The 13,361-nt window shown below is 40.0% G+C and overlaps 1 protein-coding gene across 29 annotated transcripts in view; it reads right to left on the bottom strand.

Moving 5' to 3' along the window:
• Window positions 1-13,361, bottom strand: part of SYNE2 (spectrin repeat containing nuclear envelope protein 2) — a 464,854-nt gene that overhangs the window by 114,751 nt on the left and 336,742 nt on the right. For 25 of the 29 annotated variants that reach the window (XM_047431152.1, XM_011536576.3, XM_047431149.1 and 22 more), the window contains 3 exons: window positions 12,878-12,952; window positions 9,657-9,767; window positions 4,092-4,208 (listed from right to left, as the gene is read on the bottom strand). In XM_047431152.1, the coding sequence (XP_047287108.1) occupies window positions 4,092-4,208; window positions 9,657-9,767; window positions 12,878-12,952 (303 nt within the window). Of the gene's footprint in view, window positions 1-4,091; window positions 4,209-9,656; window positions 9,768-12,877; window positions 12,953-13,052; window positions 13,291-13,361 lie in introns of those variants that run through there. The other 4 variants (XM_011536582.2, XM_047431157.1, XM_047431158.1 and 1 more) reach the window with 2 other exon arrangements.

Here is a 13,361-nt window from a genome sequence, read left to right as displayed (position 1 = left end):
GGCCTCCCAAGGAACTGGGATTACAAGCACACACCACCATACCTGGCTAATTTTGTATTTTTAGTAGAGGCAGGGTTTTGTCATGTTGGCCAGGCTGGTCTTGAACTCCTGGCCTCAAGTGATCCACCCGCCTAGACCTCCCAAAGTGCTGGGATTACAGGCATAAGCCACAGCGCCTGGCCCTGATTTTTTTTTAAAAAAAGCAACAGTTGTGTGATTTTGCTTCCAGACTTCCAGATATCAATTTCTAGTCATCTGATTAATTCCCTTCTAGTTTTCAGATATTGCTATATCTAGTTTTCAGATATTGCTACAGACAAAGATTTTGGAATTCCCTTTCCTTTTTTTGCCACTTGAGAGAACAATCTATTAATATTAATTAATCTAAGACAATCTATTAATATTAATCTGTAATCACAGATTTACCACCTGCCTTCATTATTTATTCAAAAATTTTATTTGAGCACCTGTTATATGCCACGCACATTTTTTTTTTTTTGAGATGGGGTCTTGCCATGTTGCCCAAGTGGGTCTCTAACTTCTGGGCTCAGGTGATCCTCCTGCCTCGGCCTCTCAAAGTGCTGGGATTACAGGCATGAGCCACCACACCCAGCCCTCCACACACTTTTTTTAATGACAGTATTGAGTTTCTCTGCTTTCTCATGAACTCACCAAATTAATGAGGAAATAAGCAAGCTGCATGACTAATCTGGGTTTTTTTTGCTAGTTATTTGAACCTGAAAAGAATCCAAAGGGGAAGAGAAGACAAAAAGAATATTTCCAACCATACAGCTTCAAGAGCTGAGGGTGGCCTGAGGAACCCACTAGAGATCAGTTCACCCACCTCTTTTTAAAGTCTAAGAAATCCAAGTGCACAGAATGTTCAATCAGCCCACATGCCTCCCTTTTTACCATGTTGCTTCTGAGAAGCACCCAAGTTACTAACCCAAGGTCACACAGCTCTGTGATCTTTTAATTCAGAGTTCCCTTGTTTTTTACACAGTAGCATCCCTGTAAAATACCTTCTCTATATGATAGCCCCAAATTCTAAAAGCAAAACTTATTTAAATGGATGTTTTATAATTGTACACTTTGGCGGGGGGGGGGGGGTGTAAAAAGTATTACTATAAGTATTTCTTATTAAATAAATATGTCTTCTCTAAAGCATAACTGTAAATTAATAATAGCTAGCCTTTATTGGGCTCTTACCATGAGCAGGCACTGTATGGTCACACAACTAGTAAACAGAATCAAAAGCAATTCCTGCTTTCACTACACTTTGGAATCTACAAGTCCACATTCTTGATATAATTTCACCAACCTTTTAGTATCCAAGTTAACTTTTCAGTTGGTGAATCACATTGCTTCACTTCTGCATCAACACAACACTGATCTAAGTAATCAGTGAAGTAATCAGTAATCAGTAAAAAAAACTGCAGTTAAAATGCAAGTTGATTTTCTGGCTATTGCTACATTTCATGCCAAAATAGCAAACCTTTACATTTTCTCCTTAATATTTCAGTCAATTCTACAAATACCTGCATATCTCCCCCACTGCTTATACCTGCATATCTCCCCCACTGCTTATGAAATGTAAAACTGCATACCTAAAGTACAGTACCTAACTGCACATGAATAAATGAAAAGCATGCCCCTAGAATGGCATGGTGGTGGTTTACTCTGAGGTCATGCCTAGCTTGATTTCACATTTTCACATTTTTCCATACTAAATATTTATCCTTGGTTGTAATACGGGTCAAGAATGACTCAGAATTTTACTAAAAATTATGCAATTATCATTTGGTCAATACACTTAACCTCTGAAACAAAAGGTTTGTTGAGGCTGATAGAAGGCTGATGACATTGGCTGCCTGGTTTCTGCAAAGTCCCCACTTTCCTTCTCATTAGTGATGTGCTGTGCCAATGAGACAGAAATCACTAAAAGGCAGGAAGACAGTCACCAAGAGGTATGGAACTTGGAGCCAGTAAAGGTGTCCCTGAATAATCAGAAGTGGACAAATTCCTCCTGTAGTAAAGGGTAACATCTATTTTTCCTGCTCCAAGAATTCCTCCCCAGCAAAAGTTCTGAGTTAAGAAGAAAATACAAATACACACATACATAAATTAGTTCAAAAGAGAGTCACTGGAGCCTAATAGTTCAAAGCTCAGGTTTTAAACTCAGAGTCAGAAAGATCTGGGTTTGAATCCTAGCTTTGCCACTTACTAGCTAAATGACCTTGGGCATCTTACTTCTCTGAGCCTCAGTTTCTCCATCTGTAAAGTGGGGTAACAGTAATATTTATCTCATAGAGCTGTTGTTAATGATTAAAAGAGATAGTATATGTAAAATCCCAGTACCTGGCCCATATTAAATGTTCAGTAAGTATTTTGTTATCCTCCTTTTTCTTCCTCCTTCTCTTTATTGTCATCATTATCTAGTATCCACATGGCCAGGGAAAAGACCCTAGAGGTTATCCACACCAGCAGAAACAATATTAAGCAGAATGGCTACTGTAGCTAAAACACCATTGAAGCTACATCTGATTTTTAATTAGATGTCAAAAATAACATTACGGTGGGCAGATGGTTTGAGACCAGGAGTTCGAGACCAGCCTGGGCAACATGGCAGAACTGTGTGTCTGAAAAAATACAAAAATTAGCCAGGCGTGATGGTGTGTGCCTGTGGTCCTAGCCATCCGGGAGGCTAAGGTGGGAGGATCACCTGAGCCCAGGAGGTTGAGGCTCCAGTGAGCCATGATTGTGGCCACTGCACTCCAGCCTGGGTGAAGAGTGAGACCATGTCCCCAGAACAAAACCCAGATTAATTCTGAACAGCAAAAAAACATACTGACTAGGTCAGCAACTTCCTTAGACCTAAGCATTGCCACTGGGTGTAAACCTCTGACATTTGTCCACCTTCCTAGACATATATTGTTAAGAGAGACAGAGAATGAAAGGGAGGGAAAGAAAGAAGAGAAAGGAGTAACAATTTGAGAACTAAGAGATATTTTTGTAAGACTAGACAAAAGATTGGGAGAAAAAAACATAAATAGAACTCAGTATAAAAGAAGAAAAGAGATGCAATAATTAAACAATAAAAACAGCAAAAACATGCCAATATCTTTTATAGGAGCTATTTGATGAGACCCTTGGAGCTTTAGGTCCAGCTAAACACCAAAATTAACTTGGGAAATAGTACCCATCCCCCACACCCTGCTGTAAGGCCTTATTGAGAACAACTGAGGTACAAGATTCCAAATTAGGAAGCCAGATTAGAATATTCTGGGTTTGATTCCTTATTCCTCCATTCACAAGCCATATATATATATATACATTTTTTTAAAAGACAGAGTCTTGCTCAATCGCCCAGGCAGGCTGGAGTGCAGTGGCGCAATCTTGGCTCACTGAAATCTCCTCCTCCCAGGTTCAAGCGATTCTCCTGTCTCAGCCTCTTGAGTAGTTGGGATTACAGGCATGTGCCACCACGCCCGGCTAATTTTTGTATTTTTAGTAGAGACGGGGTTTCACCAGCCTGTTGGTCAGGCTGGTCTCAAACTCCTGACATCAGGTGATCCACCTGCATTGGCCTCCCAAAGTGCTGTGATTATAGGCTTGAGCCACCATGCCTGGCCCACTAACTATATTTTTACTCCCTGAATTTTGATTTCTTAATTTGTAAACATATGGTAGGTATGAACCTACCTTATACAGTCTGAGGGTTAAACAGATAACTATAAATGCCTTTTATGTAACAGGCTATTAATCAATATTAACCCTTCTCTACTTTCTTTGCCCCCATAAGTTCTATCTACAGATTAAAGAAGTAGTCATCAACAGAAAGACTATTTCATGATGACAAATGGTAAATGAGTGAAAAGCGTCTAATTCTCTATGCCATGCCTATTTTCTTTGTAAATATCTGATGACAAGTCTTCCAGTTCTACAGCTTGACAGCACATATCTTCATATGTTAAAGTTCACAAGGAACACTTAGCTTGACGTACAAGGTATTGCAGGACACAGAACACTGGTCATCTCTAGGTGCTAGTCCAGCTATCTGAGCAGTTTACTTATTACCAACCAGGACTTACCTCTTCTGTTTGGTTGGGCCTTAGGGAACATTCTGGGCCTTGCTCAGTGTTTAGTGAGTCTGGTGTGAGGATTTGTGCCATGGAATTATCAGAGGTGCTTATTTTCCCATATGCTTCCTGTAAAGAAAAGAATCAGAGCTCCAGAAAGGGTCCTGCCCTGGTGCCACATGAATTCTTCTTTCTGCGCATGCTCATTTTACAAACTACCTGCTTGCAAAAAAGTCAGATATGGAGAAGTCAGATACGATTAGAAAAAAGTTTGTTCATTAGGGAAAAAATCAGCTTCCCCAAGACTGTCTTTATTTGAAAGACTTGCATTCTCCACACTTCTCTTCTTAATGAGCACATAAACAATCTAGAGAATTACGTACTTAAGTAAATTCTTCCAGAAGTATGCTTTGTCTTGTTGAAGTATTCTTTAAAAGTATGTCCTTATGAAAATTTAAATTACATGGCCAGGTGTGATGTCTCACACCTATAATCCCAGCACTTTGGAAGACCAAGGCAGAAGAATTGCTTGTGCTCAGGAGTTTGAGACCAGCCTGAGCAACATGGTAAGACCCTGTCTCTATCAAAATAATTAATCAATTAATTATATGATAAAGGCCACATTTCAAAGAGTGGGGAAAAGGTGAATTTATTCCATTTAGGAACAACTACCAAGGCATTTTATGAAAAATATAAGTAGAATTCTTGTATTACTCCTAACAATAAATTCTAGTTATGAAAAATATAACTAGAATCCTTGTATCACCCCTAACAATAAATTCTCATTGTATTCTCAAAGTTATGCCATAAAAATTCTAGGTGTGGGGAAGCATGACAAGAAAGGAAAATAATATTAGTATTGACTACATAAAAAAATAAAATAATATGCACCACAAAAGATACCATAATCTAAGTTAAAGAGAAATGACAGACTGGGATAACTATTACACATAGTGTTAATATTTTTTTTTGAGACGGAGTCTCGCTCTGTCGCCCAGGCTGGAGGGCAGTGGCACGATCTCGGCTCACCACAAGCTCCGCCTCCTGGGTTCACGCCCTTCTCCTGCCTCAGCCTCCCGAGTAGCTGGGACTACAGGCACCCGCCACCACGCCCAGCTAATTTTTTGTATTTTTAGTAGAGATGGGGTTTCACCGTTTTAGCCAGGATGATCTTGATCTCCTGACCTCGTGATCCACTCGCCTCGGCCTCCCAAAGTGCTGGGATTACAGGCGTGAGCCACCATGCCCGGCCAATATTCTTAATATATTAATTACTCTATAAATAATAAGGAAAACATCAACCCCTACATAGAAAAACAGTCAAATGGTAGGAACAAGCAAGTCGCAAAAGAAGAGTTACAAAAGCCAATAGGCATCTAAAGAGATATTCAACATTCTTAGAACATAAATTAATTTAAACCACTGGCTAAGTTTGGCTAAGACTGACAATATCAAAAATCAGCTTGTGTGTTGGTTGGGGGGGGGGGTCTGGAAATGCAATTCCATGTATACCTAGGAGAAATATTGTTGGTATAGCCTTTCTTTTTCTTTCTTTCTTTTTTTTTTTTTTGAGACAGGGCCTCACTCTGTCACCAGGCTGTGGTGCAGTGGTGCAATCTTAGCTTCACTGCAACCTTCATCTCCCAGGCTCAAGTGATCCTCCCACCTCAATCTCTGGGACTATAGGCATGCACCACCACGACCGGCTAATTTTGTATTTTTTACAGAGACAGGGTTTCACTATGTTGCCCAGGCTGGTCTTGAACTCCTGAGCTCAAGCTGTCCGCCCACCTCAGCCTCCCAAAGTGCTAGGATTACAGGCATGAGACAACTGCACCTAGCCTGGTATAACCTTTCTAGAAGGCAGTTTGAAAATGTGTGTCACATTTTAAATGGATATATACTTTGATTCAGCAATCCTTCTTTTAAGATTAACCAAAGTTAAGCAATGGGAAAATGACATGTACACAAAGAATTAACACAACGTGACAGAAAGCATGTGGATATTATAATCAACCAACCTTGATTGCTCTACTTGCAAGTTGTATGATCTTGGACAAATTAACCTGAACTCTCTGAAACCTCAGTTACTTCACCTTTAAAATGGGAATAAAACCTATCTTACCTATGCTTGCAATTAAGTGACATATATAAGGCATTTAGCATTTCCTAACAAAATGTTAGTGTCTTTTCAGCTTCTACTGAAAACAGTGACTGTTATCAGAAAGGTATAAACCAAGAATTAAAGGTAGAGATTAGATAAAATTAGAAAGGTAGGCGGGGACCAGGAAAATCTGGAATGTCACGCTAAGTTTGCATTTTCTTCAGTAGATAATCAAACTCCATGAAGAATTTTAGGCTGAGGTTTCGCATGATTGGTTTTAGGAAAAGTCATCAGTATTTTATAAGATGTATTAGGAAAAACAATTGGAGACTGTAAACCAATTAGAGGGCTACTCCAAAAGTCCAGGGAAGTAATAAGAATTGCTTGAAATAAGACGATGGCAAAAATAATGGGAGGAGAGGCTGTACACAGTGAATGGACATCATTGGCCACTGACAGGATGTGACAGGTGAGAGAAATGAGGCACCTAGTAGAACTCCAAAGTTTATCTCTGAGAAAATAGTGGCACCAACAGCAGACACTGAGAAATTAGTAAGAGGAGCAAGCTTTGAAGGAAAGGTGGTAAAATAGGTTTGAGTTGGAGAAACTCCATCCCAAAAAAGTCTATCACGAGGATAGAAATGTGGAATAGATTTATAGATTTAAGAGAAAAGCCAAGACTAGAGATTTAGTTTGGTAATCACTGGCATAGAGGTGACCACAAGCTCTCAGAGGAAATAAAATTGCCCTGAAAGAAAACAGAGAGGCCGGGCGCAGTGGCTCACACCTGTAATCCCAGCACTTTGGGAGGCCAAGGCAGGTGGATCATCTGAGGTCAGGAGTTCAAGACTAGCCTGGCCAACATGGCAAAACTCTGTCTCTACTAAAAACAAAAAAAATGAGCCAGGCATGGTGGCGGGCACCTGTAATCCCAGCTGCTCGGGAGGCTGAAGCAGGAGAATCGCTTGAACCCAGGAGGCAGAGGTTGCAGTGAGCTGAGATCGCACCACTGCACTCCAGCCTGGGCGACAGATCGAGACTCTGTCTCAAAAAAAAAAAAAAAAAAAAAGAGAAAACAGGGAGAAGGAAGAGGACAGAACATTGGGGGAATGCCTACCATCACAGACGAAAGAGAAAGAGGGGCAAGAAAAGGAGATGGAGGAGGGACTAGAGGTAGAAGGGACAGGGAAGAACAGAATTAAGAAAGTTAAAGGAACACCGCAGTTAAAGAAGGAAGAGGTGGTCACTCCCAGAGAGGTCAATAAGGATTAGGACTAATAAAAGGGTATTGAATTTGTACTCCAGAAGTCAATGGCAGTTTAAGCATAGCCAGAGGCTGAAACAAGATTACAAAAGGGGCCGAGGGAGTAGAACACCAAGGAAAGACCTTCAGTAGCAAATGAAAGACGAAGTGTAGTAATTGACATGGGAAGCAGGATCCAGAAATTCAGTTCATTAAAGTACCATACTGAGCTGAGTATAGGATATAAACGATAAGCTTCTTTCCACTCATGAAATCGTATCAGGTGTATTCATAAAAATGTGCTAAGTCATAATTGAGGTTCAGAATCCTATTGGAAAACAGGGAAAGAGACAGCAATTTCCTTTGCAGGATGTCAGGAGGTTTCTTGGAGCAGGGGAAGTTGAGATGGGTCTTTGTGGATGGGAAGGAAGTCTACAGAGAGGCATGGAGAAAGGGCATCCCAGGGACCAAAGCCTTCTGTGGAGCTACTGAAGATGCAGGCTGGTTCTGGAACTATCTCTCTGTTTGAAGTAGTGGGGCCACAAGGAAGAGAACATGTTAGGGAGGGGAAGCCTGAGTACTGAGGTAGAGAAGGAAGGAACCTAGCCAGAGGCAGAGACTGACAAGGCAGGTATAGGCAGAGAATGGCGCCAATGATTAAGGAAAGAGTTGGCCTGAGAGCAGGGGGAGGGGTCAGCCCTGGACAGGAGGCAGGAGTGAGAGGTTTATGGATCACGAGGATGCAGAGATCTTCCGGGAGCAAAGGAAGCACGTAGTTTTCACATAGCCTTACAATGATTTTCTAAAGTGAGACCATTTGAGAGACTGGAAAATATTTAGAATGTCATAAGGAGTAAAAAGACTTAGCGCATCTAATTTATCTTACATACTACTTTGTTCCACAAAAAAAAAAAAAAAAGATTATGGAGAGACCCTCCACCCAAAACTCCCAAAAGAGTGGCATGTTAATTTACATGCTTTGGTAAAACAGTGCAGTGAAGCTTTTAGCTGCTCCTTTGAGGTATCTGTTTGGTCAGTTTGGATTTTCACATATATGGAGTTTTCCTCAAAAAAAGTACTCTCCTGTTATTAAGTACACAATAGAAATAGAACCAAGCAGGTGCTCATTAAGGCTGTCTTTGCATTTGTGCAAAGGTAATGTGAGAAGCTTTCAAAGATTCACGGTAGCCAAGATAGAGAAGCAACCGAAGTGTCCATCAACTGATGAATGGAGAAAGAACATGTGGCATATATACACAACAGAGTACTAGCCAGCCTTCAAAAAGAAGGAGGTTCTGTCATTTGTGACAATATGGATGAACCGGAAGACATTATGTTAAATGAAATAAGCCAGGCACAGAATGATAAATACTGTATGATCTCACTTACATGTGTAATCTAAAAAATATGGACTGCATAGAAGCAGAGAATAGGATGGTGGTTACCAGGGCTGTTGGGGGCTGAGAGAGGGCCTGGGGAGATGTTGGTCAAAGGACACAAAATTTCAGTTGAACAGCAGGAATAAGTTCAAGAGAATCTATGTATAACATGGCAATTATAGTTAATAATAATGTATTGTATACTTAAAAGTTGCTAAGCGACTAGATTTTAGGTGTTCTAATTACTGAAAAGATGACAAATATGTGAGGTAATGCATATGTTAATTAGCTTGATACAGCCATTTCCAACGTATACACATTTCAAAACATGTTGTATACCATAAATATATACAATGGTTGTCAGCTAAAAAAAAAAAAAAAAAAAAAAAAAATTCAGCCCATGCAGGTTCCCTCCCTAAGCATTCCTTTAAACAAAATAGTTCTTTACTATCCTTATTTTTATTCCTGTCTGAGCTACAAATGGGCATTTTAAAGGTTTAGGCAGTGCTTGCTGAAAACCAAACAAAGGAAAGAGGGAAGAGAGGAAGCAAAGCTAACATAGAAAGTCAGGCAACATGGCGAAACCCCGTCTCTACTACAAATACAAAAATTAGCTGGGCGTGGTGACGTGTGCCTGTAATCCCAGCTACTTGGGAGGCTGAAGCAGGAGAATTGCTTGAACCTAAGAGGCGGAGGTTGCAGTGAGCTGAGATCATACGACTGCACTCCAGTCTGGGCGACAGAGCGAGTCCGTCTCAGGGGTGTAGGGAAAGAAAGTCGTGCAGAAAGAGATCCCTGCTCCCCCCTGGGCCCTCGTAACCCCTAAGCGTGGCTGATACGCCCAGCATTACCTGAACAATTGTTCCAGAGGATGAGGAAGCTCTGTCTTCTTCCATGTCCTTGTCATGCTTCCAAAGTGAAGACCAAGACTGAGGCGATGGCTCTGCCTTCTCATCTCCATTCTATCACAGTAAACGATTGGTTAGCAAAGGGAAGAGCTTCCCTTACTGTCATAACCGGTGCCCTACTCACTCACGTCTTTTATACCAGACTCAACTTATCAGGCAGTGTAACCACAGCCCTTTATTGCAGTCCTCCCCCATTTTTTTATCTGTATTTTTTTTACTAACTATATCATGTTTACAAATGTGGCTGCTCTTCCTAAAGCCTAGAAAATACTTTTAAAAGTAGGGGCTCGGCTCACGTCACACAACGGAAATCTTTAAAATGGTGCTTTTAGGAATTTAATCTGCTTTGGTAAATGTAACCTTAAATGGTATCTTTGAGGCCAGGCACTGTGACTCACACCCATAAACCCAGCCCTTTGGGAGGCTGAAGTGGGAGGATCACTTGAGGCCAGGAGTTGGAGGTTGCAGTGAGAACCACTGCACTCTAGCCTAGGCAACAGAGTGAGATCCCATCTCTAAATAAATATTTAAAAATACGTAAAAGTTAGAAAAATTAAAATGCTATCTTTAAAATTACAGCCACGAGTATAAGAAAAAATGTTCAACCTCACTAATCACCAGGGAAATGCAAATTAAAACCACAGTGAGATACTACTTTACACCTGTTAGAATGGCTTATATAAAAAAGATAAAAATGACAAGTGGTCATGAGGATGTGGAGACAACAGAACCCCTGAATACTGTCGGTGGGAATGTAAATTGGTACAGTATCAAAGTTCCTCAAAAAACTAAAAATAGAACCAGCAATCCCACTACTGAGTACATATCCAAAGGAAAAAACTCAGTATGTCAAAGAGATGTCTGCACTCCCATGTTCAATGCAGCACTGTTCACAACAACCAAGATACGGAATTAACCTAAGTGTCCACCAACAAATGAATGGATAAAGAAAATGTGGTTATATACACATACTGAAATACTATCTGGCCTTAAAAAATAAGGAAATTCTGTCATTTGCAACAACATGGGTAAATTAGAGGATCTTCTGTTAAGTGAAATAATCCAGGCACAGAAGGACACATACCACATCATCTCCCTTTAATGTGGAATGTAAAAAAAAAAAACTCATAGAAGCAGAAAATAAAACAATGGTTACCAGCGACCAGGGATTACAAAAATGTCTGTCAAAGGACATTAAAAAAAGGGCACAGGAGGAATAAGTTCAAGGGATCTTTTGTATATCATGGTGACTATAGTTAATATATGTTTGAAAATCATGAAGAGAGTAGATTTTAAGTTTTCTCATTACAAAAAAAAATGGTATGTGAGGTAACATGTATGTTAATTAGCTCAATTTAGCCATTCCACAATGCATATATACATGTACTGTATCAAAACATCATACATGTCATAAATATATATATATATATATATATATATATATATATATATATTTTTTTTTTTTTTTTTTGAGACAGTTTTGCTCTTGTCACCCAGGCTGGAGTGCAACAGCGTGATCTCGGCTCACTGCAACCTCTGCCTCCTGGGTTCAAGCAATTCTCCTGCCTCAGCCTCCCAAGTAGCTGGGACTACAGGAACCTGCCACCACACCTGGCAAATTTTTTGAATGCATACAATTTTTACTTGTCAATTTTTTTAAAAAAATCACAGCTTGATGTTCCCCTTCATGTGTCCATGTGTTCTCATTGTTCAATTCCCACCTATGAGTGAGAATATGCGGTGTTTGGTTTTTTGTTCTTGCGATAGTTTACTGAGAATGATGATTTTCAATTTCATCCATGTCCCTACAAAGGACATGAACTCATCATTTTTTATGGCTGCATAGTATTCCATGGTGTATATGTGCCACATTTTCTTAATCCAGTCTATCATTGTTGGACATTTGGGTTGGTTCCAAGTCTTTGCTATTGTGAATAATGCCGCAGTAAACATATGTGTGCATGTGTCTTTATAGCAGCATGATTTATAGTCCTTTGGGTATATACCCAGTAATGGGATGGCTGGGTCAAATGGTATTTCTAGTTCTAGATCATCACACTCTGGGGAGTGTTGTGGGTTAGGGGGAGGGGGAAGGGATAGCATTGGGAGATATACCTAATGCTAGATGACGAGTTAGTGGGTACGGTGCACCAGCATGGCACATGTATGCATATGTAACTAACCTGCACATTGTGCACATGTACCCTAAAACTTAAAGTATAATAATAATTAAAAAAAAGAAAAAAAAATCACAGCTTGATGAACATGTACTTTTTTGTTGCTGTCAAAGACAAACAACACTATAAACATCAGCTCAGAAGGAAATACATGTCTCAAATTAACATCGTACTGAAGTCACTCTTTTTGGCCCCTGGTCCCTCCATTATTTTCGTAGTTCTCTCTGCCATGAAGGGGTATAATCAGATTGCAAAGTTGTTTGATGGTCACAGAGCACACAGTAAAGTTGTACTCTTCCTTGTCACAGTTCCACCATGTCCCAGCGACACACTCTAGGACAAGAGGTCTGCTCTGTGTGAGAGTGGAGCTATTTAACCATCTATAAAATGAGCCCAAAAAGTGTCTGGTGGTTACATGTAAGTCACAAAAATTGTAAGTTGCTTCAATTTTCTTCCTTTTGTCTTAAGACCCATTGCAACTTATTTTTTCAAGTATGAAATGGAAACTGACGTCAGAAAAGACAACTGAAAATGTCTCATTCAACCAGTTATAATCAAGTAGTACAAATTCTTAGTATTACTTGCTAACACAACTCTTCATGTCATTGGAAATACTGTTTTAGAGCAAAAGAGTAATTGAAATGCGGAAAAATACAGTTCTAAAAATGAGACCAGGAGTGCCAAACAGCATGCTCTCAAAACTTCAGAGAAAGTCCTCAGAAATCAGGATACTACAGAGAACTTCTTCACCTTCTCCCGTATGCCAACAAGAGTGTCTGAATTACATTCATCTCACTCTTACACAGTGAAGTAGGTTTCCATACACTTAAACATTAATAACATAAGAGAACTACTTCAATCATACTTTTAAAATATCAACATTAATTTTAAAAATTCTTAGGTTTCCATTCACTTTAAGATCTTTTCATTGACTTCTTTTAGAGATCTGGTTCTAACAAACTTTAACAAGAAAATCATTTCCCTTACATCGCTCTTCACGGAACTTTCTTCCACCTCTTCCTCGACTGCTGCCAGGTAAGACATGGAGCCTCTTCTGTTCAACTGAAAGGCACAGCACAAGAATACCTGCAGTCTGCTTGCCAGTCAACATCACCAAGATCCCAGTCCAGCTGCATTTTTATGTAGCTAATTTTTTACTTACTTTATCCAAGATGCCCACCCCCACAAGAAGCCTGTCTCCTGGTCCGTTCAGCTCCTCCAGCCAGATATCCGGAGTCAGTCAAACCTTAGGTCTTGTTATTTTCATGGCCCCCTGTGCCCCTTCATAAACGATTAAAGAATGTGATTCATTGATGTGAATGCAGAGAAGACTTAGGCACTGGGCCCTTCTTGAGTCTGCAAAGGGCTGACTTTTCTGTACGAAGATACTTCAAAGGGAGGCTTGATCCACCTGCCTGTGAAATTTTATAAGCATGTCCTAAAGTAATTCAGGTGTTAAGAATTCTGGGTG

This window comes from Homo sapiens, chromosome 14 (assembly GCF_000001405.40).
Source record: "Homo sapiens chromosome 14, GRCh38.p14 Primary Assembly".
In the NCBI taxonomy this organism is placed as follows: domain Eukaryota; kingdom Metazoa; phylum Chordata; class Mammalia; order Primates; family Hominidae; genus Homo; species Homo sapiens.
This window is presented reverse-complemented; position numbering and strand designations above follow the sequence as displayed.